Source organism: Homo sapiens, chromosome 11 (assembly GCF_000001405.40).
Source record: "Homo sapiens chromosome 11, GRCh38.p14 Primary Assembly".
NCBI lineage: Eukaryota > Metazoa > Chordata > Mammalia > Primates > Hominidae > Homo > Homo sapiens.
The window spans coordinates 2,713,362-2,737,871 of NC_000011.10; the positions used below are offsets into that span (position 1 = coordinate 2,713,362).

Sequence of the window (24,510 nt, forward strand, 5' to 3'; positions counted from 1 at the left end):
CTGTGGTTTTTATTGTTTTATTTTATTATTCCAGCTATATTACGTTGGGAAGAGCTACAGAAATGGTTTCTTCTCCCCCAGATTCCAGAACAAGTCACAGCCATTGTAGATTTTGATTAATCGCCATCCCCATTATTTCTTCACTTTCTCCAGCTGAATTTTTCCCACTGTGGGAAGGGGGTCTGGAGGACAGGCACCCTTGTTGGCCGTGGATAGGTTTCTGTTCTCCCTCGACCCACCCAGCAAGAGAAAAAAGTGAGCTGACATTATGGGTCGGCCCCTGTTCTGGAGGCCACAGCCACAGGCTCTGCGGGCCTCTGGCCGAGCTGGGTTGCAGGAGAAGCCAAGTGCCGGGTGAAGGCCTGGGGAGGAATCTGGGTTCTCTTGGCTGCTGGTAAGATTATCCATTAAATCCATATTCCTCACTGTAGAGTTCATGGATTCAGAGGATATACCGTATTCTGGCCGTCTTACATTACTGCAATATTGCTTCCAGATGGGCAAACGCGCGCTCGGAGCCTGGCCCTGCAGACACGATGGCCCAGCACGCCGCTCACTGCCGCGCCTTTGTTCTCTGCTTCCTGCTCGGTTCCTGCTAACTCAGGGAGCTCCAGGTGGCTGCCACTCAGGGGTGTGTGGGGGGCGCCTTGGGGCACCCAGGCCTGCAGCCCTCCCCCACACAGGCAGTCTCCACAGAGATAGAGCGCCAAGGATGCGGGCCAGGACTCTTTCCGAGCCTCTCCTGTTGCTGGGGCCTGCTCCCTGAAGGGCACAGTCCTGGGCAGGCGCAGTGCCCAGGCTGGAGAGGTCCTGCGTCTCCATCTCATCCACAGGATAAGTCAAATGGGAGCATTCCAGCATTCCGCATCTCATGGGGGGGTTGGGCCTCACCTCCCTGGCAGCCCACTCACCTCACATGGCCTGAGCCGCAAGGTCAGCCCCCTCCCAGGCCCGTGAGAGGCAGCAGGCACTATGGGCGAGCTGCCTGCTGGGCCACAGGCTCTGGTACTCTCCTGGGTTGGGGCTCCCGGGGTAGGGCTAAGTGTGGTGGCAGTGGAGTCAGGGCAGCTGGACAGCCCCTCTGCCATCAGTGAGAACTGTCTTCTCTCTGCTTCCCCTGTGCACTTCTGAATCCCCAGGGCTGGGCACAGGGCTGTGACGCCATAGGTGCTCTAGATAGATGGAGGAGCTCACAGCTGCAGGGAGTGTTGGGTGGACATATGGGGTGTGGGGGGCGAGGCCAGGCTTCACAGAGGTGGAATCTCAAAGGAGGAAGCGGCATGCCAGGTGGCGGACATAGCACCTGCAAACGCCTGGGAGGTGAAGGCACCAGCTGTAGCCAGCATCCCAGAAAGGGACACGAAGCCCTTGGGGCCGGGGTGGTAGGGGTAGGAGAGCATCTTGAGGGTGGCTGCAGCATCGTCGTCATCTTTCCAATGGTGGCATCCCTTCCCCAAGCAAGGGAATGATGCAGACAGAGGTGCCTTTCAGAAAGAATGGAGGTCCTGGGGACCTGACTTCTGGGTCCCTCAGGACACATGCTCTCCAGCTCGTCAGTGTTACCTGGATACTCTAATGGGGGCACAAAGCCAGGGGGGAGCCTGCAGGAGGGGCCTAGCCAGGGCCAGGTGTCACACAAGCAGAGCTCCAGGGTGCAGCTGGGCAGATTGCCGGTGGTTGGTGCTGGTGAGGAGTAGCAGGGTGGGGTCCGGCGGTAATGCCACTGATGATACTTGGCGAGGATGACCGCAAGTGTCTTGACCCAAACATGAGATGCCCCTCACCCATCCTCCCATGAACCTCAGCATGGGCACCCCATGCCACCCGCTCCATTTACAGCCAAGGAGCCTCAGTAGAGACACAGCTAGAAAGTGGCCAGCTGGGGTTTGGTGCTGAGCCTCTGTCTGACTCTCTGCTCTCTGGAGAGCTCAAGGGAACCTGTAAAGACCTGCGGGCTGTGTCATGGAGGGCCCTTACCCCGGAGGAGCCAGGAAGGTGGACAGAGCAGGCAGGAGTGGGGCAGGAGGGGGCTTTGCAGATTACCCAGACCCTTTGTTGGCCAGTGTGGGAATGGGGGGAGGCCAGGGAGGACCCCCTGCAGCCTGGCTCAGGCAGGGGCATGTGTGAAGGCCCAGGGGGAAGAGAGCAGCCAGGTAGACTTCGTTTCCAGCCGGAGTGTACCTGGGGATGCCTGTGCCCAAGCCTTCCTCTTCCACCACCCCTGCTGGGGTCCCCTGGGACCCATCCTTCCAAGCCCCTGCCAGCCTTGGAACCTGTGACTCCCCAGGTGGTCAAACACAGAAGGACCTCTTGGGGGAAGGGGAACCAGCAAAGGGGGTATGGGGAGCCCTCTGGGGCACCCTCATATCACACCCTGTCCCTCTGGCCACATTCCAGCTGGCCCTGCCTGTGAGGGTTGACCAGCTGGAGCAGCCCCGCATCCCACATCCCCGCAGCCTTGCGCTGGTCTAAATGCCTCCCAGCCTCCTGAGGTTGAGGGTGGCCACACCAGCCAGAGCTTGGGTGATTGAGTGGGTAGAGGGGGTGGCCAGAGTGGGAACCATGGTGATGCAAACCATAAACCTGTCCCCCACGTCACCTCCAAACCCTTTGGGCTGGCCTCTTGGTGAGGAATGGCCCTGGGAGAGGCTGCCCTGCCTTTGACCTCTCATGCACTGAGAGTAATGGGCAAGCGCTGTCTGCAGAGCACTGACCCCACCGCCGGGGTCGGAGCCCCTATTCCTAGCCTCCCTTGAGCGTTTTGGTTGCCGGATCCTCATTAATGGCTGTTTGTATCACTTAACAATTTTTCACTTTTGGAGGGGTCGTGAATAACCCCAAAGCAACATGTACCCTCTCCGGGCCAGGCTCAAGCGGTCCTCTCACTAGGGAAAGAAGTCAGAAAAAAGCTCCAAGCTGAAGCGCCCACACCTACCCTCTGCATCAGATGTGCTGCGGCTCTCAAGGAACCCTCTAGGGCACAGCTTTGGGGAGTGGAGCTGCGTGGTCAGCTGGCCAAGCCACAGTGGGAAAAGGTGGCCCATTGGCCAGAACACAGTCCCCAAGCCTCCTCAGCTAGGCTCTCGAGGAATGGCTGGGTGTCCTTTCTCAGCAGAAAAGCCTTGTCCCCAGCCTCCAGGGCCAGGCTCCAGCTTCCCAGGCGTGTGCTTCCCACCCAGGCTCTTGTGGGTTGGCTTGCCAAGCGGTGTTAGGACACGCAGCTTCAGTTCTGCAGGGCCTGGTGGAATTCCATTCCCTGCCTCCCAGAAATCTTATCTTGAGGGCCGCTCAGCTACAGTAGGCCCCAAGCCCCAGAGACTCCAGATTCCCCACTACGGAAGGCAGCCGTGAAAGGCACGGGCAGCGCGGTGCTTCTCCTTCAGGAGGTGGAACTGGGTGGCCCGCATTGAACAGGCCAGGAGCACTGGTGTTCTGGATCCAAAGCAACCATCTCTTCCCACATTTGGAGGGAGCCGAGGGCAGGCAGGAGCCAGGACCCAGTGCATCCTGAATACTGGGTGACTGGCAGACATCACTCTGGCCCAAGGCCAGGCCTGCAGTAGGAGCTCTGTGCATATCCCCTATGTGAGTACAGGAACCTCAGTGGTGCCTGTGGAGCTGTTCAGTGGGCCCTGTATTCGCCAGCACAGCCATGGTCCTGCTGAGTGACAAACAGCCCCCCAGATGTCCTGCCCTCTGGTGCTGCTTGTCCACCATGAAGTGGCCGGGGCTCTGCTCAGGGACCCAGGTGCTCTTGCAGACAACCCAAGTCTTCCTTCCTACTCCTGGCAGGGCAGGCAATTCCACTGATGGCTGCAGTGCGACACAGACTGGGCCTGGCATGGTGTCCCTCAGACCCCACGGCTTGGTCGGGTCACCTGGGCCATTTCAAAGGCTGTTGGGGAGCAGGAATCACAAGCTGGATGTCAGCTTGAGGGTTACCCCAGAGTGAGAGCCTCGACAGCCAGGCCCTCCCAGGCTTCTGTGATCGCAGCCCACACCTCTGCGCACAGTATGCCAATGTTCCCCAAAATCTACATACTGAGAAGGTAGACAGCAAAGCCACAGGGAGACTTCTGGGTAGCCCAGGTGGAATTCTTCCCTTCCTGTTTCCCAGTTTTCCACCCTTTTCCCTGGCTTTCTTCCAGAACCTTTTAATGAAAGTGCCTCTGCCCCACCAGGGCCTGGCTTAGGATGGGTGAGGGAGAGGAGCTCCGGGAGGTCACGGCCCCACCCAGGAACGTTCCTGTCCCAATCCTCCCATCCCCATATTCAGGAAAGTTCCCCAGGCCCGTATGAACTGGCTTCTTAATTTTGTTTTAAACACAAGCTTTCAGAAGAGCAGAAACGGAAAGACAGATGGCAGGAGGTGCCGCAGGGCAGCACTGGGGAGCCTGAGATAGAGAGCGGGTAGACAGGAAAGCAGCTCACAGCGGCTGGAGAGCAGGGAGCACACGCCTGTCCAAGACCTTGGGCCAGAGGAACCCCCTCTCCCCCGATGGCCCACTCGCCCCAGGGCCTCCAGGTTTGAGCCCCCCGGGGTATTAGCCCAGCATTTTAGGGGCTGCCGTGGTCATGGAGTAAAGACCACACCTGGCATGGCTTCCTTGGTTTCTGAAGGCTGCGAAAGCTGCGTCTGTCGCAGAAGTGAACCTTGTTTTGTTTTGTTGATGGGTGTAGTCTCAGGGCATGTTCAATGTCTGTGGAGCTGCCTCTTCTGGAAGAGCCGGGTTGACACCCGCGTGCCCCGTCCTGGCTTAAACACTTTGAGGCCCTCCCTGCCCTCGGGGGAGCTGAGAGCCCCACTGCAGCCCAGAGGCCCTCCCCTGACAGCTGCCTTCCTCTGCTCCGTCCTTCCCCACATCCCCCTCACACACCTTGTGCTTGCTCTGGGCTTCAGGGGCCTGAGCCCCAGGTAGACCCCCACACTTAGGGTGCCTCACCACACTCCATCCCTAGCCCCAGACTGGCTTCCCTGCATCTGGCTGACCCCCTCCTCACCTGCCTGTTTCCACCTCAGGGCCCCTCCTGAAGCCGGAACTTGATCCCCGCAGCACCAGCCCCTCCCCGTAGCCTCATGGGGCACAGCTCTGAGGATGTGGATGAGCAGAGGGGAGGACAGGGATGATGAACCCCAGGAATTGGCTTCCAGTGGATGCAAGGCTGACTCGTACATGTCATGGAGGATAGTTCGGGCATCTGAGCTAGCTGAGGCTCCTTGGAGCACATGCATGGCCTGGACTGTCCAGAAGTCGTCTACGTGCTTTGTGTAGACGCATGACTCCCCAGCTGGCTCCGTACTAGATGACCTGGGCTAGGGCCACTTATATCTGTCAGGGGAAGGGCAGTTGCAGTTAGGACCACACTAAAAGGTTAATGTCCACGCTGGTGTTGACCAAGCCCTGGACCCTGCTGTGCCAGGCACTCCCATCAGCATCCAGGTGCCCATTTTACTACAGGGATCTGAGAGCTGGCTAGGCAGGCATCCCGGGTCATTACTGGGCCTGTAAGGGCCTTCATGTCTGCACCCTCCCTGCCATGCACCTTAAGGTCAGGAAGTCCATTCAAATGCAGATTCCTGGGCTATTCCAAGAGTTACTGAATCCCCACCCTGGGGTGAAGGCTTGGCGTCTGCCAGGGACCATAGACCACAGATACTCATCTACGCTTGTGACCCCCCTCCCGCCCCTGAGTGTGTGCTGGGGCAGGAGGCCCTGTGGCAAGTGGAGCCCCAACCGCAGAGCACCATCTCCAGCCGTGTGCTCTCGGGTGCAGAGCTGACCTCCCAAGTCTCAGGCTTCTTGTCTCTCATTGGGGGTAACAATGGCTATGTACATAAGATTAGGAGAACACACAGAAGGTGGTGCTGGCTAAAGCCATTATCACAGGCTGGTGCCTATAGTCCCAGCACTTTGGGAGGCCAGGCGTTAGAGACCAGCCTGGGCAGTATAACGAGACTCTGTCTCTACCAAAAAAAAAAAAAAAAGAGCCATACAAGGTGGTGCGTGCCTGTGGTCCCAGCTGTTTGGGGGCTGAGATGGGAGGATCGCCTGAGCCTGGGAGGTCAAGAGTGCAGTGAGCCATGATGACTGTGATTGACGTGTTGACCAGGCACTCAAAAACAAACAAACAAACAAACAAAAAAAAAAACCATTATCACCCCCTGCACACAAATCCCAGAGTTCAGAGAACACAGATCAAAATAAGAAGTCAGAGAATCCTCTCCAGCTGAAAACCCTCATTTGTTATCACCCAAATGCTGCCTGCTGGCTGGCGAGCCTTGCTGGTGGTGGAAGGCCCAGCAGTAGCAAAGGAAACCAGGGCAGGACAGTGTAGGAAGTCCTGCCCTCGGATCATTTGGGGAAATTGGCACCTGTGTTTCTCACCACACAGTGTTGGGTTGGAGAATGGGCCTGGGTGCAGAGCTTCGGAGCCAAACACCGTGCTGGTTTCAGAGAAACAAACAGCCCTGATGTAGCTGTGGCCCTTGGAGGTGTCCGAATAGTCCATCATTTTCAGTGACAGAAAGACGGAAATGGACACAGATCAAACCTGCATCACAGATGTATAGCTAGGTCAGCGAACCACTCAAAAGACCCCAGGGTCTGACCCCTTGCACGCCTGGGCGGAGGTGGAGCCGCTTCACCATACATGCAAATGTAGCAAACTGCAAAATGTCCCAAAACAAGTCCCTTACTGTCCGTGTCCCTCCATGCCAGCTCACTGGAGGGGCTCCTGCTGAAAGAGGTGGGGTTCAGTTCCCAAACCCACTGGAGGGTTGCAAGGAGACGCTTCTAGTATGTTAGACAGCACAGTCTTCCAAATGGACTGTGGGCATGATGGATGTGTAAAGAATCGAGAAGCCAAGTGCCCTTGCCATTTGTTATCTTTAAAAAGTATCGGTGGGCTCATGGGGGCTTGAGTGTCCTGGCAGCTCTCCTCATCCATCCTATGTGTACACTCAGGCACGTACTCCCTGGCTCAGCCGCCTTCCGGGGCCCGGCTACAGTCAGGCCTCCTTCGTGCTGAGCATGTGCTGGCCCTGCCTGGGGACAGCTGAAGGCCAGGAGGAAGCTGCTGGCCTCAAGAAGGCCTCTCGAAGCAGAGGCAGCCCCCTCGAAGCTCACCTGGCCTCTCTCTGTAAGGGGAGAGGGACCCAGGGCTGACCAGAGCAAGCAGTGTGCCATTAACCCCTACCTGTCCAGAACTCTGAGCTCCTGTGGGTCCTTCTCTGAGTGTCCTATGTTGGGGGTGTCAGCCTGGGTGTCAAGGCTGAAGAGGGGAGCCTCCTTGGCCACTGAAACGGAAACAGCATTAGCCACCACCAGCCCCTTCCCCCTTTTGCAGGGCGGCTCCCAGAACCTAGGAGTCCATGCTACCTGTGGGGTTCATAGTGTGTCCCTCTCAGCCAATGGGAAGTCGTGCCCTTGGATCATTTGGGGCAAATGGTCCTCGTTTTCTTCATTATATGGTGTTGAGTTGGGGAACGGCCTTGCTGGGAGTTGGGGCCTGGCCTGGACCTCGAGGCCACTGGGGACTTGGCTACCTGAGGGAGATGAGGTTGTTCCCAGGGTTTCCTCATCCCAGGGGCTCTCAGATTTCCAGGGACTCGGGCAGGCACAGCTTTCCAGGCCAGAGCCATGGACGGTCCCTGGACACCTGCAGCAGCCAGGCCCCAGATGCAAGAAAGGGTATTTGTTTCTTAAAGCTTGTAAAGAGTTTCTAAAAGGTGGGGAGGGGATTGGTGGGGGCCTGTCTCATGTTTTCCATTCTGGACGCCGGGGGGACATGTTGCTGGGGCCAGACCAACTCCAGGGAGACAACTCGACAAGTTACGAAACATCCAGCAGCATCCACGACTAATTTCTTCCCCCTGTTTGTCCTACCGTGGAGGTCGAGTTAAAAGGCAGCACTTCGGGGGTTGAAAAGCTACCCGCAGGGGTCTGCTCGTGAGGGACCCCCGGGCCTCTGCAGCCTTTGTTCAGAGGCAGCTAATAAGCCGACTCCCGCTGGGCGCTTTGTAGCGAGGCCGCTGTTCCCAGTCCTAGCTCAGCCTCCCTGCCTCAGAGGGCTGGCAGATCAGCAAATTGCTGTCTCCAGCTCGCAAGAGGGGCAGGTCCAGGGATGTGTTTCACCCCCAAGGTGTGAGTGGAATCAGCAAATTGTATCAAGAAATATTTCTAGGGATTTACATTCCGGCGGTCAGCAGCCTTTGGGAGGCTTTACTCCGCCTGCAGGGGTGGGAGGCCTCGCGTAGAGTTGGTGGGGGCAGCAGAGCCTGGGTGTTTCAGGAGGACCCACTCACTCTGGGCCACTTCTGATGCTGCAGATCACGCCAGGCAGGCCTCCGGCCGTTTGTCTCTTCCGACAGCAGCGGTGGTGATGGTCCCCTCGGCCTGCCTGGCCTGCAGCAGCCCTGGCTGGAGGCTGACCGAGCCTCCGAGGAGGTTCACCTGGAGCTGTCTGTCCATCCATCCATCTGTCCCTTGGCCCCTTTAAGAGGCCTTGTCCCCTTTGCCAGTGCAGGGAGACCCCACCGTGGACTTCTCATTGGGACTTCCAGTGAGACCCAACTCCACTGCCTGGGGATACCCTCACCCCAAGCCCAAGGAGCCTGTCCCTACGCACACCCCCTGCCCCTGGGAGGCACATGCCGAGCTTTCCTGTCCTCCATTTGGTGGCCGCCTCACCTCCATGGGGTCGCAGGGCCCACACAGACAGCCTACTATGGTCCTGGCAGGCACAGGGTATGGGAAGCCCTGTGCCCCTGGGATCAAGCTTGGATCCTGAGGTCCTGAGCTTGGTGAGTCAGGGCTGGGGAGCCACAAAGCCAGCATGCTCCTGCCTTTTGGGGGTCCCAGGTGATGTGTCATCTTACCAGGTGTTGACAGGTGGAGAGAGGTAGGCTGGGTGAAGATAGGAAAGGACTATGGGAGGCCAGGGCGGGCCTCGGGTGCATGCCTCTCTGTGGCAGTGACATTTGTACAGAACGAGGCAAGGCCAGCCCATCCTGGGAGCTGAGTGCTGGACCATGGGGGCTGCAGCCTGGAACTGAGCCCAGAGACTGCAGCATTCAGAGGTCAGGGATCAAGGAGGACCTCACAAAGGAGATCGGGAAGGTGGAGGCTTGGTCACCCCCAGGAGGAGCTTTTTCTAAGGAAGGAGAGGCCAGCATGTCAGCCACGGCTGGTGGGTCCCACTGAAGCTGAGAATAGAACTGGCAGTGGGGTTTGGCCACATGGAGGTCCTAGGGGAGCTGATGAGAGCGATGCCGTAGCCAGGGTCGGCAGTGGCGGACCGAGAGTGCTTCCCTTCTCACGTGGTTGGGAGTCATGACCTGTTTAGTAAATAGGCTATGGCAGCCTCTTGGAACTTAGTGAGGTGGCTAAGCTGCCCCTAGATAGCTGTGCCCTGTGACCAAGACCCTTCCTCCCTCCTTCCCTCTACCCCACCAGGCTCAGCCAACTGACACCAGGGCCCTGTGAGGCAGTATCTGAGCCACCCTTCTGAGTGGGAGCTATGGCAAGTGCTGCCTTAGCGGAGTGGGGGTGGGGGCATGTGTCACTCCCAGGACCAACTGGCAGATGAAGGTCTTTGGGCACTGCAGCTGCCACCTGGGGTGCCTCGGGGCAGGCTCACCTCACACCCTTGTGGGCCAGCTGCGGCCCAAAAGCCTCCTGGCCTCCATTCCCGTGCCAGGGTGGTCTGAGCGGAGAGGACAGGGGGGATCCCAGACGGATCCTGAAAACAGGCTCCGCCTTCCTCTGTGGCTCTGCCTTCCTCTTGGCTCCGCCTTCCTCCGTGGTGGCCTGAGAGGGGTGTGGTGCTGCTTGTCCGTGGTGCTCCACACACCTGCCACAGCTGCTTACCCCACTCCCTGCCGCCCTGGACAAGGTGCCCACGGCCCTGTCCCATTTACCGTTGGGGCAAGTGAGGGACGAGGAGGCTCCGCAGCCTCCCCCGGGACACTGCAACCCTCAAGACTCCTAGCAAGCCCCTCCGTCTCAGAGCCTTGGTGTCCCCATCTGTAAAGTGGGATGTGACAATACCCTTCTTGCTGAATGGGCAGGGAGAGAGGAGCTGTTAGGTGAGACCAGGTGGTACTTGGCAGCTGTGGCACGTGGAAGCCCTACACAGGCAGCCCCACACCTGGTCCGCTGTTCTGTCCTTACTGTAGCAGTGGGCCTGGAGGCAGTGGCATTTAGAGAGGACCCTGAAGTCCAAAGAGGGGATGCCAGCCTCAAACTCAGCAGCTCGAAGTAGCAACAGCCTCGAATCCCTCACACCTAGCGGTTGGCTGGGCAGGTGGACTGGTCCGAGCTGAGTGGTCTAGGATGGCCTTGCTCCCGGAGAAGACCCTTGGCAGACAGCCTCTCCTCTACTAGCTAGTGGGGCCTCACTAACCGCTGGTGGCCGCAGGGTTCCCAGCCACTCGGTGCACATGTACTCCAGCCTCTCTGTGTCCCATTTGCTCATGACATGGTGGTCAAAGCAAGTCACGGATTCCAGGGGGACCTCGGGACGAGGAAGTCACACGTTGGGGGATGTGCCGCAGGGATGGGGCATCTCAGCCTTTGTATCTGCCGTGGGCGTGGAGGCATTTACTCTTTTCACCGGGGGAGCAGAAATCAGAACATGGCTCTCTGTGTCTGACACAGAGCCCTGTACTCCATCTATGCAGCCCCCACCACCTCTGCACACAGCCCCTCCGGTGGTGCCTGGGGGCCCAGGCTTTTGATAGAGAATCACATCTGGACCAGGACGTTCTGGTAAGATCGCCAGGGGGCCGCGACAAGGAGACCAGGAAGGAAAGACAGAAAGAAAAACACGCACAGATCCAGGCTCAGATGATATACAGTCCTCCTCCCGGCTCAGGACCCCTTTGCGGTGTCACCTTTCGGCATGTAACCACTTATTCTGTCAGGGAGGAGAGCCCTCCCGCTCCACCAGGTGACGGCCCTAAATCCTCAGGAGTGACAGCGTCCTCCCGCCCGGATTGGGTTTCTGCACAGTGGAATGGAGCTGGCAGCCAGGGTCCCTGTCCCGCCAGCCCTAGGCCTCGAACCCTCCCTGGCAAGCTAACACTGCCCTTGGAGGAAGGAGGGTGGGAGGGCAAAGAGAGAGAAGTGGTGGGTGGCAGCGAGCAGGCTGTCCTGCAAGGCCGTGGCTGCACTGAGGGCAGAAGGGGCCTTGTCACCTAGGAAGGACCCCACTAGGAACCCCTTCCCGCGGAAACACAGCTTCTCCCCTTGGGTGCCATTGCAGCTGCACCCAAGCCTTGCCCTTCCCTCTCACTTCGCTCCCCAGGAGGCGACACTGTGATTGTCCTGGGCTCACAGAGGAGGACGTGGGGACCTGCCCAAGGAGACACAGGCAACAGAACCAGGGCTCAGAGTTGGGGGAAGGGGCCAGTTCACCCACAGAGGGTGGAGTCACTGGGCTGAAGCTTCTGGCCATCGTATGGAGCTGGAACAAGGCACTGGAAGGTACCAGGCCTCAGCGTTCTCAACTGTGAAATGGGAACACGGTGGTCTCTGTCACAGGGTAGAGATGACTGATCCAGTAACCTGGACAGGGTGCCGAGGGCAGGGTCTGGTGTGGCTATCAGGAGCCACTGGATTGGAACTTGGTGTGCCACCAGGGTCCCTGTCCGTTTAAGAAAAGCCTGTGGGCCCAATAGAGAAGCACAGGGTCTGAGAAGCATCAGACAATGACTCCTAAACAAGCTCACGTCTTGAAGCAGTGCTGGACCCGTTTCAGCTCCAGGGGAGAGCCAGGGCAGGGTGGGGCAGGCACGGATTCCTGACGTGGAGACAGGAGGAAGCCGACGGCCATCTGTGCTCAGACCCAGTGGTGAGCCTAAGACAAGTTCCCAGAATCCATCCGGGACAGACGGCTGGACTTGTGAAACACTCCAGGGTCGGGGGCTCAGCCACGGGACCAGCGCTTGCCAGAAATGTTCCCAGCTTTTTTGAGTTCGTGAGTGGCTGGTGGATACTTAGTGGTTTGGCTTTCGGGTTCCTGCCTTCCAAAACAGGAGAGGCAACTTGGCCTGCTTTTTCCTCAGAAGAGCCCACTTTTTGCGTGGAGGTGACCTGCCATTTGTCCGGTTGGGGGTCCCCAATCGTCTTCGAGCTACTGATATAGAACCTCTGCGTTTAGCTGTGGTTTAGGAAGTGCATTCACGTGAAGTCGCCAAGTTCAAAGGGCTGCCCCTGGAACCCAAGTCAGACTTGCCCTCGCCCCCTTCCCGAACGTACCCTTTCCATGAGGCTGGGCGCCCTGCCCTGCCTTCAGTGCCAAAGCCCCAGGCCCACAGGCTGTGCACTCCAGCCGAGGGCAGCCTGGGGAAGGTACGAGAGATCACTGGGCTTTGTGAAACCTGTCAGCTTGTGTGAAAGCTATCTCCCCCAGGCCCCACCCCCGCCCCCACCCAAAGCACAGGTCACCTGCCTGGTTAATCATCCTGGGCTCTGAGAGCTCCCTGGGGCCCCACAGGCCAAGCGTTTTCTGACTTGGAGAGGCAGGAGGCCAACTCCCCGCTCCTCAGATTCTGCTGAACTAACTGAAACCCTAACCTTCGGGCTTCCCCACTAATTTGTGATAAGGCCTCGCCAAGAAAAACAGCAGGCTAAAGACCCCTGATTTCTTCATGAATTCCAGAGCACTTGGTTCACTCCGGCAGAGAAGGGGCCCCAGGCAGCCATGCATACAGAGCCACCTCTGCGTGGGTGAAGGGCTGGGGACGGCCTCTTGGGAGCCCACTAAGGAGGACCACCTGCCTGCTCCAGGCAGATTGCTTCCAGCTGGCCAGGGCAGAGGAGCAGGCCAAGGGTGGGTCCCGGGCAGTGGCCCAGAGAAGCTGAGCTCGCTCACGAGATGTGTGCTGACGTGGCAAGATGGGCGGGAGTCTTCATGAAGGAGTGGCTGCCTGGCCCCCTGACCTGAGGATCCTAGGGCCCCTGGATGGGTTTGGGGGAACTGCAGCATCCTCAGATCACAGACGGTGTGTCGAGTGAGGGTGGTGCTCTTCCTGGGCCAGCAGTAGGTTTCCAAAAGGGCACAGACACAGCTCAGGAGATGGATGCTGCCCTGTCAGAGTGGGGAAACTGAGGCCCCAGGCGGAGACACCACCCACTGCAGGTTCCAGCCGTCCCCCACCCCACCCCTGCCCCACCATGGCTGATGTGAGGGAGGTGGCCAGAAGTCCAGAGGGACACTGGGTGGGACCCCGGTGAAGATCTGGTGGACTGAGGCCAGAGAAAAAGGGGATGACCCATTCCTAGCAGGGAGGAATAGTAGTTTATATTTTCCCCCAAAATTTTATTTTTCTGCATTGGCCTGAATAGGAGCTGACTTTAATACGGGGGAAATAGTGATTTTAAAGCCGGCTTTCCCATGGAATGTGCTTCTCCTGTGACTGTGCCCATCTCCTCACTGCTTGGCAGAGAGGTATCCCCCGTGCCCCACTGGCATGGGCGCCAGGTCTGCCCTTCCAGAGGCCCCTCCCAAGTAGCTCCCAGCAGAACACTTGAAGCCCAAAAGCAGTGAGAAAGGGAACACATTTGCCTCCAATCCTGACTCTCCAAGCCCTGTCCCTGCCCCCAGGTGAAGGGTTGGCCCTGGGCATGGAGGTCGGCAGCAGGGAGGGGACACTTAAGCCACTTGGTTGGGGGTTTGTGCTATGCCCTTTCCTCTGCCCTGTTAGGTTTGCTTCTACCTCTTAGGTCCTGTGATATATCTGCCCCTGTAGGAGCGAGACAGACATAAGCCAGATTTCAGGAAGGAGCAGCCATGGGGCAGTGGGGCTCTGGAGCAACAGAGGCCTCAAAAGCTCAGCGTCTACAGATGTTAGGGACAAGGAGGCAGCTTGGGGGATGTGCTCAGGCCCTGGAGGCAGACACATCAGGGTCTGAATCCCAGCTCAGGGGCCCAGGGCAGCTCAAGCCCTCTCTGAGGTTCTGTTTCTTCATCTGTAAAACAGGGACAATCACGGTAGCTACGTGTGGGGCGCAGGACGGCACCCAAGGATCATTCCTGTGTGAGTCAGGTGTCAGGGACCACCAGGCCTTGTGCAGGAACATGGGGTAGTGTCCCTGGGGGAAATCCTACCCCAGACTCGAGGAATAAAGAGGAGGAGGAGGTTGCCTGAGCTTAACAGAATGATGGCTGTCTGACATGAGGCTCACAACTGGCCCCAGCAGCTCCACGGCAGGGAGCAGGAGCAGACACCCCGGATCCGCTCTCCTCCCTCCTTGCCTCCTGCCAGGGGTCCAGTTGGCTAGACCCAATCTGAAGCCCTGGGCCAGGAGCTTGTGGACATAACCTGCAGAGATCAGCCTCCTAGGGCAGAGTGAGCTGAATGGAGAAGGGCTGTATGCAGAAGGGCGAGCAGACAGAGCCCAGGATTCCACAACGGTGTCGATGTACAACACCAAGCACCTGGCCTGGTGTGGGCTCGTCTTGCACTATGAAGGGGCAGGGACGTGGCCAGGCATTCGTTCCTCTGTGGGCACTGTGGGGCTTTGCTGTGGAGGCAGAGGGAGCATCTGATGGCCCCCGGGGCCGCGCTAGTCAAAGCGCTTCATTTCCATCATATGTGGTGCAAAATCTAACCCTCTTACCCTGCGTGAGGTTCATGTGACCGCTCCCGCTCACCTCCCAGCCTCATTGCCTCCCTGTTCCCCTCCTCCCTCCCCAGCCACTCTGGCCTTCTCCTCGTCCTTCAGCTCCTTCCAGAGTGTTCTTGCCCAGGGCCTTTGCACAAATCCCTTCCAGGACTTCCGATGGTTCTGTCCTCCCCTCACACAGGCCTCACCTCTTTTGCCCCCTCCACCTCTGGAGCGGCCACTCGCCCACCCTTCTGCCCTGACTTCTCTGTGGCTTCCCAAGGCTCTTCCTGGCACCTCGTAGGGTAAGTCCGACCCCAGGTGGCTGTGCTCTGAGGCCAGGGCCAGGACTCTTGTTCACAGTGCTATGCCTGACCCGGCGCCAGCCCTCAGGGGACCACAGCCGGCTGAACGCCAACTGGTTAGCTGCTTTTTCTATAGGACCTACCGAGCGTTTGACTCTAGAACCGGGGGTTGGTGCTTGGTGACAAGAGCTAGGCTGGCTTCCTACTAATTCTGCAGCCTCTGGCTTGCTAGCCTCCCGCCCACTAGGGTCCAGGTCACTTCCTCTAGGAGATTCTAAAACACTCTGGCACAGCCCACCAGCAGAGCCGGGCCTTGGGAGCGTGAGGGCACGGGGCCTGAGCCTACTGCATCCTCCCAGAAGCTGGCCTACAGGACGGAGGCTCAGGGTGGCCAGTTGGGCATGGGGTTCTGCTGGCCCAGAGTGCCAGGGGGACAGGAAGTCCCTGAGGGCTCCAGCTGCAGGAGGAGCATCTCAGGAGGAGCTGAGGCCGGAGCAGAGCGTCCTCCTGGTCCTGGCAGCCCTTGGCCCCTCAGCACCCCAGAGGGCCGGCCGCAGTGGATGCTGCTGAACCACCAGAAACTTAATCTATTATTACACAGAAACTTCTGTGCAGTCAGGGGTTTGAAGTCCCCAGAAGTGTTTGCCTGATTTGGGGCAGATAGCGGGGTGATTAATGCTCGTGATAAGGTGTTGATTGGTTCTGGGAGCCACTGCAGACACAGGGGCTGTTGTGCATGCAGGGCTGGCAACTGTAGTCACAGAACAATAGCCCGTTTATGTAGCACACTCCCACCCCCCGCCTGCCCCAGGCGGGCACAAAGGGCGCTCGGGCCAGGAACCCATGAGCTGGGCTCTCCCGGGGCCGAGGGTCCAGACCTGTTGCCGAGAAGCTGCTTAGCAAGGCCTAGGGGCAAGGGCTGGTCTGGCCTAGCTCTTTCTCCCTTGAGCCCCCTGCCACAGGGCTAAGGCCATGCTGCGGGCTCGAGTGACTGCCCTGGACGTGACAAATCTCTGTGCCTCGGTGCCCACACCTATACAATGGGGGTAATAAAGTCCCCACATTGTAGCACTGCCAGGTGGATTAAATGAAAGAAGATAGTGAAGTCCTTAAAGTGAGATGTGTTGGCATTTACTCCACAAATACTGAATGCCTGCTCCAGGTGCCAGGGACAGCAGTGACAATACAAAACTGATACGAAATTCCAAAGGGATGTCCACCAATGGGAGACGTATAAGGGCTCTGCATCCATGGATTCAACCAACTGTGGATGGAAAATGTTTGGAAAGAAAGTTGCATCTGTGCTGAACATCTGAACTTGTACAGGCTTTTTGTCTTGTCGTTATTCCCTAAACAATAGAGTGGGTCACGCAGCATTTGTGTTGTTAGGTATCGTAAGTGGTCTGGAGATGGGAGGATGTATGTGGCCTCCATGTCAGTATCACACCATTTCGTATCGGGGGCTTGAGTACCTGTGGATTTGGGTACCTGCGGGAGGTCCCCATGGGTGCTGAGGGACAGCTGCACTTTAGTATTTATCTACAGAGTGCTTGGAAGGGAAAACAAAGACAGGCAGGGCTGGTTTGGGGAAGGGGCCTGTTGTGGATGGGGTCGTGGAGGACCTTACAGTGTCCCCAAAGCGAGGTGAATCTCATGGTGTCAGGGCTAAGAGCATTGTGGAGAGAGGGTACAGCCACAGCAAAGGCCCTGAAGTGGGGATGGGCCCACAGGCTGGCAGGACAGCAAGGAGACCCATGTGCTGGGACCCCGAGAGCTAGGACACGTGAAGCCCTGGCTGGCCCCGAGTGCGGTGTGGTTGGCGCAGATGGCAACAGGGTCACTCTGGCTGCAGAGCCAAGAATGGACCACTGAGGGGCTGGGACAGACCTGGCAGACCAGGAGGGAGGCCACTGCACTAGTCCAGGCGGAGGATGGCAGCTGGACCAGGAGGGCGAGGAGGAAGTAGTAGATTCAGGACTGTTTTGAGAGGGACCATTTTAGCTTCTTACGGCTGCTGTAATGAATTCCCACAAACTTAGTGGCTTTAAGTGACACGTTTATTATCTAACAGCTCTGGAGGTCAGATGTCCGACATGGGCTACATTCAAGGAGCCAGCAGAGCTGGTTCCCACTGGAAGCTCAAAGGGAGGCCCCACCTCCCTTGGCTTGTGGCCTTTCCCCACGGCCCCCTTGTCTCTGCTTCTGTCCTGCGCTCTTCACAACCTCCCTTCCTCCCTCTTTCTCTTATGGGGAGTGCAGGGGTGATCTGGAGGAGCCGGTCAATAGCAGCGTGGTGGGGTCTGGCAGAGACAGACTGCAGGGGGCCTGGGAGGCCCCAGGAGGCAGGTGGACTTTGTCCCTAGGCATCCAGTGCAGAGGTGAGACCTGTATGGCCACAGAGTCTCCCTATCCAGGCCCCATTACCCTGGGGGAGGCGGATTATGGTATGAACTGCTGCAGGTGGTCCAAGAGGGGCTGCCCCTGGGAGACGCAGGGTTCTTCAGTAATGGTGGTTTCGAAGGGCAGAGGAGGGAAGAATGGAGGGATGGGGGACAGACGCTGGAGCCGTTTTGGTGGCAGGCCTCTGTGGCTGTGGCCAGAAGCAGGGCTGGGCACCAGGCCAGATGGACCAGAGGCTGCCCCCAGCTGAACCAACTACAGAAATGAGAGCCCCGGCCCAGCCTCCTCCCAGCCGCCGCTCTCTGGGAGCCCAGCTTTGCTCATAGAAAAGGAAGGCCCTTGTTGCCCTGCATTGGGAGCAAACACTTCCTTTGGCCTCACAGCTCAACCTTGGACCCAAAGGTCCTCAGGGACCTGGGGGAAAGAGAGGGCAGCCAGGCACCTCTGTTCACGGCAGGGGCTGCGTTGCCCAGCCTGGCAGAGGGAGGCAGCCCCTAGGTACAGTCCCCTGTGCCCACTCGAGGGGGTGCTGAATTCCTCAAGGCCTGAGTCAGACCTGGTGCAGCTTCATAAAGCCAAGGGTGGCAGGCGGAATCCAAGGGGCCTCACCGCCCATGCACCCCACTGTTGCATGGAGAGAACAATGCCCAAATGCCCTCGTCCCACAGTCGGCATGCCAGACCCCTCGGGAATTCAGGCCTTGGTGAGTCTGGCACATTCCGGCTGTGTGTCAGCGGGAGAGGCCTGGGAAAGGGAGCCAGCACTGCAGGCCGCCCACCACACGCCCACTCGGGCACCGGACACAGGGAAGGCGGACACCCAGGGCGGCCATCTCTCGGGACAGGAGGTGCGGCTCCAGGTTCTCACCCAGGAGAGGGCTTTCCTCCCATGTCAGAGTCCCCTTCGCTGCTTGAGGCAAGCCCTCCGGAACAGACCCATCTTTTGGGGGACCCTGTGGTCATGGAGATCAGGTTCCTAGAATCACCCCCAGCAGCGCACACAGGAGGGCCTGAGGCCCAGAGAAAGGCGCCTGAAGCAAGGGAGGGGAGGGCTGGTCCAGAGTCCCTGTCCCCTCTGCCAGCCACCCAGGAGGCTCCTATGGCCCCATCTCCCAGCTCTTCCGGGTGGAAGACAGTGGTGGGTAACTCACTCAGCTAGAGCGTCTGATCACACCACTGCAGCGGCTGCTCACAGCCTTCACCATCAGGACCACAATTCTGAGGGCCCTTTGGATGAAGCCATCTCACAGAGCTGTCTCCTGCAGAGAGGAGAGGAGAGGGAGGCCGCCTTGCCAGCAGGGGACCAGCGAGGTGTGGCCTGCAAGCCGTGGGCTCCTGTGTTCCTTCCTCCCCCTTCAGAGGAATGGGAGGAAACCAGGCTTGAGTTCCTGATTTTTGCCCTTTAGGGTTTTTAAATTGTGGGAGAGCCAGGAGTGCCTGCGTGGTGGCCTCTGTCGACTCCATTTGCTCTGAAGCGGGGCTGCGGCCAGGCAGTGCCTCTCAGCCTTCTGTTTGGTGGGTGAGGACGATGCTTGGTCTTGCCTCAGGAGCATTGCTGGCACCTCTCATGTGCTCCTGGGCCTCTCCCCAACCCTCACCTTGGCATCCCCCAATATCCAAACAATAGTCCACAAAACAAGCTGCCCCGTGGGCACTGCGAAGACCCTCGGGGCCAGAGCCACTCCCTCAGGGTGCTGAGGCCACCAGCTGGGGCCTCCTCTTTCCACACTATTCCTGACGCCTGGGCTGGGCAGGGGACTCCTGGCTTCGTTTCTTCCCTCGCCTTTGCTGGGCCATCTTTCAGACCTTGCCTGGTACCTTCTCTCCCCGTGCCAAGGCCTGGAGGTGATGTGGATGCAGCCGGGCAGTGAGGAGCGCAGGCGAATGTTACAGCAGGCGCGAGCGAAGGGGCCCGAGGCACCGGTGCTTCCGACGGGGCCCGAGGGCCGTCTGACCTTTCCGGCCACGGGGCAGCAGTTGCGTGAGCAGGAACAATCGCCCCAGTGTGCAAGGCACAAGCGGCCTTTTCTTCCTCACCGGGCCGGCGCACACAGCTCCCAGCCTGGCTTCCCTTGAACAAACATATTTATTGTGGCCGCCACCGAGGCCTCGCCTTGCAGCCGGAGCCTGGGGGCCTCTGTCCCACCCACTGGGGCCCAGGGAGGGGACCCCTGCCCTGGCGGTCTCCCCTGCCCCATGGGCCCCAGCCCCATCTTGCCTGAGGCAGGGGTGGCTCTGGTCCCACCCACCCTCTGGAGGCCCAGAAACTCGAGGCTCCTGCTGGGGGCTGGTGACCACCCACAGGCAGCAAGCCAGCCAGGGTCCTGGGAAGAGGGGGTCTGGGACACAGCCACACCTGAGCCCATCCTCCACCTGGAGCCAGCCCCTTACCTTCTGGAGCCTCAGTTTCCCCCTCTGTAAAATAGGAGGCATCACCCAGCCTTGCACGTCTCCAGTGTCCCTCAGAACGGCTCTGGCCCCGCAGCTGGGGTCTGAAGAGCAGAGCCCTGAGCTCTGAGATCCACTCCCACCCCCACCCCCACCCCCAGGCCTCTCTCTGCCTTCCCTAGTGCTCCTTTGTGTGTCCAGAGGGAAGGGGCATCCTCCATCAGCACTGACCCCACTCAGGCCTCTCAGCTGCACTCAACACAGGGGCTCCCCACACTCGCCCTCCTTCACTGCGACCCCGACCCTCACTTTCCCACAAACCCTCAGTCTCCTTTGCTCAGCTTCCTTCCAGACAGGCTGGCCCAGGCCCTCCCCACGGCTTGGCTTCCCTGGGCGGTGTCAGGCAGGGACAGCAGCCATAGGTGGTACCCCTAGTGAGGGGGACTCATTCTAGTTGCAAAGATACAGGTAGAGCATAGGGACCCCAAAGAGTAGCAGGGGACCCCCGAGGTTGCTGCTGGCAGCTCCTAGGGAGACAGTCGGGCACGGTGGGCACCTTGAGAGGAAGAACAGCCAGGCCTGGGCAGCCCTGGGGGAGGAGCCAGGCCAAGTGTGCTGCCCTCTTGGCCTCAGATCTGAAGCTATAGAGCCTCCTGGAGGGCAGAGGCAGTGGAGAGGGGTCTAGCGGGCAGGAGGGGGACTTCAGGCCTTCCACACACACACACACACACACACACACACACACACACACACTCTCTCACTCTCTCTCTCTCTCTCTCTCTCTCTCTCTCTCTCCCCCCCCACTTCAGGGCCTTCGCGCCCGCTGTTCCCCTGCCCTGCCAGGCGCACCACCCCCGAAACATGCACACGCTCTCCTCTTCCCTGCTTAATCCTCTTGAGTCTTCAGGCCTCAACCCACGCTTCCCCTGAACATCCTCCTCAGAGCAGTTGCGCGCTCTAAATCAGGACCACCTTGCGGTTCTCCCAGCCCCAGCCTTGCCTTTCTAGTGGTTCTGGCCTCTGATCACAGGCACAGTTTCAAGCTTGTCTAGCACTGGCAGGGGTGGTCCTGCTCCGGCCCCAGGGCCCGCAGGTGTGTGTGAGAGGTGCATGGTGGACGTCCAAAGAATAAACGAATGAACCATCCAAAGCACAGGCCAGAGGCAGATTGGGAGGGTCAGGTCCTAAGAGGCCTCAGGCCGGAGCCCAGCTGCAGAGCAGGGCAGGGGTGGCCAAAAGGCGCCTAGAAGGCTGGACTTTCCGTGAGGTGGCGGGGAGCACCAAGGGTAGAGGCAGGGGAGCAATGGATGGGTTGAATGAGGAAGCTTCACAGCCCCCCGGCCACCGCAGGTCGGGGGAGCACTGTCCCCGGGGCCCCGCAGCCAGCTGTGCTGGGCAAGGCAGGACGGGATCCTTGGTGATGGGCAGAATGTGGGGAGCAGGGTAGGACGGGCCCCTTGGCTGAGAGCCAGATGTGGGGAGCGGGGCTGTCGAGGCTGATCTCAGGATGCTTGCTGCGGCTGCTGGGTGGGGGATAACAGGGGTTTTCCGAGGCCCTGAAGGACTGGAGAGTAGGAGCAGGTCTCGGGGGTAGCTTCCTGAAGAGATGAGTCAGGTCCCAGGCACATTCAGTGCCAGCCAGGGAGGTGAGAGGTAATCCTGGAAGCTGCTATGTAGACAGAAGCGAGGGCAAGACCACCGCTCCTCCGCCATAAACCGTGTTGGATGGGCCTCCTGCCTCCTCCAGCCTCAGTTTCCCCCACTGTGAAATAGGGATGACCTCCTGTGCTGGGGCCTGGCTGTGGCTTCCCAGGCCCCGGCTGGGACCACCGCAGAGGTGATGTCTCCAGGAGGCTTCTGGGCCAGCAGCATGTTCCAGTGCGACACATGTGCCCCGGAGTGGCCGCGTGCCCAGCCGGCTGTGCACGCTGCCCCAGGCTGGTGGGGTAAGCGCCTCGGAGGGCACACTAACAAGAGGCACATGTGCCAGGGAAGCCCTGCCTTGTCATCACCTGTGCCGTGGCTGTCAGCGCGCATCTGGCTTACATTGAACTCCCCCATAAAACGTGTGAAACCTGACAGCAGCGCCGCAGCAGGACAGGGAGGGACTGTGTGTGAGAGCCAGGGAAGGGCTGCTCAGGGGGCTCTCCTTGATGGTGACCCCCTATGAGACGCCACTTGCCCTGAGGCCCTGGGGGACAGCCTGGCCCCTGGATGGCCAGAGATGCCTGGGGCCCTGGGGTGGGAGGTGGGGACAGGCTAATGGCAATTGAGGCCCTGCCCGGTGGAGGGTGGGCCATGGCCGCCCCCACCTCCCCTCCCGCAAGCTTCTCCCCTTCCTTCAGAGCCCAACCACTGCTTGCTCCTTCCCACCCCTCCTAGGCCAGGGATGCCTGAAGCCACACTCCACTGCATTCAGCCACCGTCCTGAAGTGCCCCTCACCCACCCATCCACACCCCGCAGGCATCCTAGGGCCTGGCCCACCACCCTCTCCCTCCTCACCATTTTCTGTTGAGCACACTTGAGGAGCACTTGGAGGAGCTGGGGGATGACATGAGTCCACTCCGCTGTCACCACCAAGACCACAGTGGGGCAGTTTAAACAGCAGGCATTCATCCCCTCACAGCCCTGGAGGCTGGAGTCCAAGGTCAAGGTGCTGCAGGGCTGGGTCCTCCTGCAGCCTCTCTCCGTGGCTTGTAGACATCACCTTCCCCGGTGTTCTCATGGGGCCATCCCTCTGTGTGTGCCCGAGTCACCTTCTCCTCTCATAAGGACCCCAGTCAGGTGGGATTAGGGCTCACCCTTATACCCCCATTCTGCTTTAATTACTTCTTATAAGACCCCATCTCCAGACACACAGTCACAGTCAGAGGCAGGAGGAGGTGGGTGAGAGGACCCCACGCCCTTCCTCCAGTGTGTCTGGAGCCCCTTCCCTGTGTACAAAGGGACAGAGAAGCGAGGGGGCTCCTTGGCCCTCCAGTATGTGTGTGCAGAAGGCCCATGAGCTGCCTGGGGTTGGGGGGTGGTCCTTATACATACTTTAGATGCCAGAGGGGGCTCATTGGGCAGAACCTACCTGGGAAGGGGCCCAGGCTTCCTGCCTGCCCTTCAGTTTACCCTGTGCTCCCAAATCTGAAGGAAGCCTTTCCTAACCAGCAGTCCAGGGGATTAGAGGACTGGGACCAGTTGAAACTCCATTCTAAGTCTTGGGGACCTAATGGGATTAAAGGCGACCGAGCTTGGGCCGTATCTGGGATCTGGGGCCCACCGGGGGCTGTGAATAGTTGGAGCCCTGGAGTGCCGAGGGCCCAGGTCCCAGGCCTCTGGGGAGTCTGGATTTTTTGGAGTCTTCCTGAGACTTGTGACCAGTGGGCTTGGGAGAGCCTGAGGGGCCTCTGGGGTTAGACGGTGGCCCCCGTGCCTGGAGAGAAGGTGCACTTTGGGGATGGGAGGCGCTAGGTGCCAATGGCCCTAGGAGGGGGCTTTGGAGCTGGACCCTTGAGGGAGTCAATGCCAGCTCATCGCCATAGCGGCTTGCTTAGGGCCGTCCCTCCCACCCCCCAGTTACACAGCCTGCAAACCCCAACCTAGCCCCTTCCAGGTGTCCCTTGTGATCTTCCGCCACTGACATAGGTGTGGCCCAGAGCAAAGGGCGGCTTCCCATTTCACCTGCGCATCTGCAGCTGGTATGCGGCTGCCCTGGTGGGTTCCTGGCTGGCTGGCATGCGCCCTGCGCCTCTGCTGGGCCTGGTGGGGCCTAAGGGTGAAAACTCGGTCAAGATAAGATGCCCACGGCTCAGGGACCCCACAGTCACAGGTGGGGAGTGGCGCAGAGCCTGGGCCTGCCTCGGGCTACCCTGAAGTGCCAGCCGAGGGTGGCTGAGGAAGCCCAGTCCCGACCCCCACCGCCTGCCTTCCCAAGACATCCTGAGTGCCCCTCGCCAGCACTCCCTGCTCGGGGATCCCATTATTCCAGGAGGAGGAGCCAGGGGTACCACTTTCCATTAGTGGGTCCAGAAGAGATCCCAGCGGGAAGGGGCAGCCTTCAGGGTAGGGCAGCGGATTAGGGAGGACTCCCCCAGGAGAGGAGGAGGCAGGCAGGGAAATTCTGGGGGGAGTGTATTCCACAGGGTAAGCAGAGGCTGGATCCCGAGAGCATCTGGACTTGTTCCCAGGGCACCCAGCACAGAAGTGAAGGGGTGCCGGTGGAGAGGGAGAGCCCCGGGCAGCTGCTGCCGTGTGGGTGGATGTCCGGCCACTGCCCAGCCACCTCTCTGTCCCAGGAAGCTGCTCTCCTGGGGCATGTGCACCTCAAGTGGGTGCAGCAGGCCCAGACCCACGGGGGCCCCTGGAGGCCTGCTGGATGCCCGCGAGCTGCAAGGAGTTAATTCCTGGCCTTGTGGGCTGGCAAACTCTGACTCACAGAGCAATAAAATTCTTGTGTTTTAAAAATCAGTATATTAGCTTAATTTTATAGATTTCAGAAGTGCTACTTGAAAATAAAAGTCTCCTAATTATATTTATGATCCCAACGTGAGTGAATTTGACTCCGTTCACGGCGAAGAAGCTTTGTGTAAAATGCCGGGAAGCCTTCGTGCTGACTCGGCCCTCGCAGACCATAAAACACGGCTGGTGGGTCCGAGCCCGGCAGGGATATGGGGTCACAGCAAAGTCCCTATTAATGCCATGTCCACCTCGCTGCCAGGGAGAGTGGGGCTGCAGCAGGGTGCGACCGTCACAGCCCTAACTCTGTGATGGATGCCTGCTGTTGTGATCATGGACATGAGGATGTGAGGCGGTCATAATAC

The 24,510-nt window shown here is 59.3% G+C and overlaps 1 protein-coding gene across 5 annotated transcripts in view, besides 10 other annotated features; it reads left to right on the top strand.

The window, feature by feature from the left end:
- KCNQ1 (potassium voltage-gated channel subfamily Q member 1) overlaps positions 1–24,510 on the top strand; it is a 404,098-nt gene that overhangs the window by 268,354 nt on the left and 111,234 nt on the right. The window lies entirely within an intron of this gene.
- Positions 543–1,185: an enhancer, noted in NCBI's record as "H3K4me1 hESC enhancer chr11:2735134-2735776 (GRCh37/hg19 assembly coordinates)". NCBI's record gives its function as "activates a minimal SCP1, AML or CMV promoter by ChIP-STARR-seq in naive H9 embryonic stem cells {active_cell/tissue: H9 hESC(naive)}" and the evidence as "EXISTENCE:reporter gene assay evidence [ECO:0000049][PMID:30033119]".
- Positions 5,068–5,967: an enhancer, noted in NCBI's record as "H3K4me1 hESC enhancer chr11:2739659-2740558 (GRCh37/hg19 assembly coordinates)". NCBI's record gives its function as "activates a minimal SCP1, AML or CMV promoter by ChIP-STARR-seq in primed H9 embryonic stem cells {active_cell/tissue: H9 hESC(primed)}" and the evidence as "EXISTENCE:reporter gene assay evidence [ECO:0000049][PMID:30033119]".
- Positions 6,869–7,768: an enhancer, noted in NCBI's record as "NANOG-H3K4me1 hESC enhancer chr11:2741460-2742359 (GRCh37/hg19 assembly coordinates)". NCBI's record gives its function as "activates a minimal SCP1, AML or CMV promoter by ChIP-STARR-seq in naive H9 embryonic stem cells {active_cell/tissue: H9 hESC(naive)}" and the evidence as "EXISTENCE:reporter gene assay evidence [ECO:0000049][PMID:30033119]".
- Positions 9,570–10,470: an enhancer, noted in NCBI's record as "H3K4me1 hESC enhancer chr11:2744161-2745061 (GRCh37/hg19 assembly coordinates)". NCBI's record gives its function as "activates a minimal SCP1, AML or CMV promoter by ChIP-STARR-seq in primed H9 embryonic stem cells {active_cell/tissue: H9 hESC(primed)}" and the evidence as "EXISTENCE:reporter gene assay evidence [ECO:0000049][PMID:30033119]".
- Positions 10,471–11,370: an enhancer, noted in NCBI's record as "H3K4me1 hESC enhancer chr11:2745062-2745961 (GRCh37/hg19 assembly coordinates)". NCBI's record gives its function as "activates a minimal SCP1, AML or CMV promoter by ChIP-STARR-seq in primed H9 embryonic stem cells {active_cell/tissue: H9 hESC(primed)}" and the evidence as "EXISTENCE:reporter gene assay evidence [ECO:0000049][PMID:30033119]".
- Positions 11,546–12,541: an enhancer, noted in NCBI's record as "H3K4me1 hESC enhancer chr11:2746137-2747132 (GRCh37/hg19 assembly coordinates)". NCBI's record gives its function as "activates a minimal SCP1, AML or CMV promoter by ChIP-STARR-seq in primed H9 embryonic stem cells {active_cell/tissue: H9 hESC(primed)}" and the evidence as "EXISTENCE:reporter gene assay evidence [ECO:0000049][PMID:30033119]".
- Positions 18,387–18,556: an enhancer, noted in NCBI's record as "experimental_21090 CRE fragment used in MPRA reporter constructs". NCBI's record gives its function as "activates a minimal promoter by MPRAs in K562 erythroleukemia cells, with activity observed for both the introgressed and non-introgressed 11:2753063 variant alleles {active_cell/tissue: K562}" and the evidence as "EXISTENCE:reporter gene assay evidence [ECO:0000049][PMID:34662402]".
- Positions 21,324–21,825: an enhancer, noted in NCBI's record as "H3K4me1 hESC enhancer chr11:2755915-2756416 (GRCh37/hg19 assembly coordinates)". NCBI's record gives its function as "activates a minimal SCP1, AML or CMV promoter by ChIP-STARR-seq in naive and primed H9 embryonic stem cells {active_cell/tissue: H9 hESC(naive and primed)}" and the evidence as "EXISTENCE:reporter gene assay evidence [ECO:0000049][PMID:30033119]".
- Positions 23,342–23,511: an enhancer, noted in NCBI's record as "experimental_21101 CRE fragment used in MPRA reporter constructs". NCBI's record gives its function as "activates a minimal promoter by MPRAs in K562 erythroleukemia cells, with activity observed for the non-introgressed 11:2758018 or rs2283224 variant allele {active_cell/tissue: K562}" and the evidence as "EXISTENCE:reporter gene assay evidence [ECO:0000049][PMID:34662402]".
- Position 23,427: a transcriptional cis regulatory region, noted in NCBI's record as "Neanderthal adaptively introgressed variant 11:2758018 (GRCh37/hg19 assembly coordinates) or rs2283224 in the experimental_21101 CRE". NCBI's record gives its function as "modulates activity of the experimental_21101 enhancer by MPRAs in K562 erythroleukemia cells {active_cell/tissue: K562}" and the evidence as "EXISTENCE:reporter gene assay evidence [ECO:0000049][PMID:34662402]".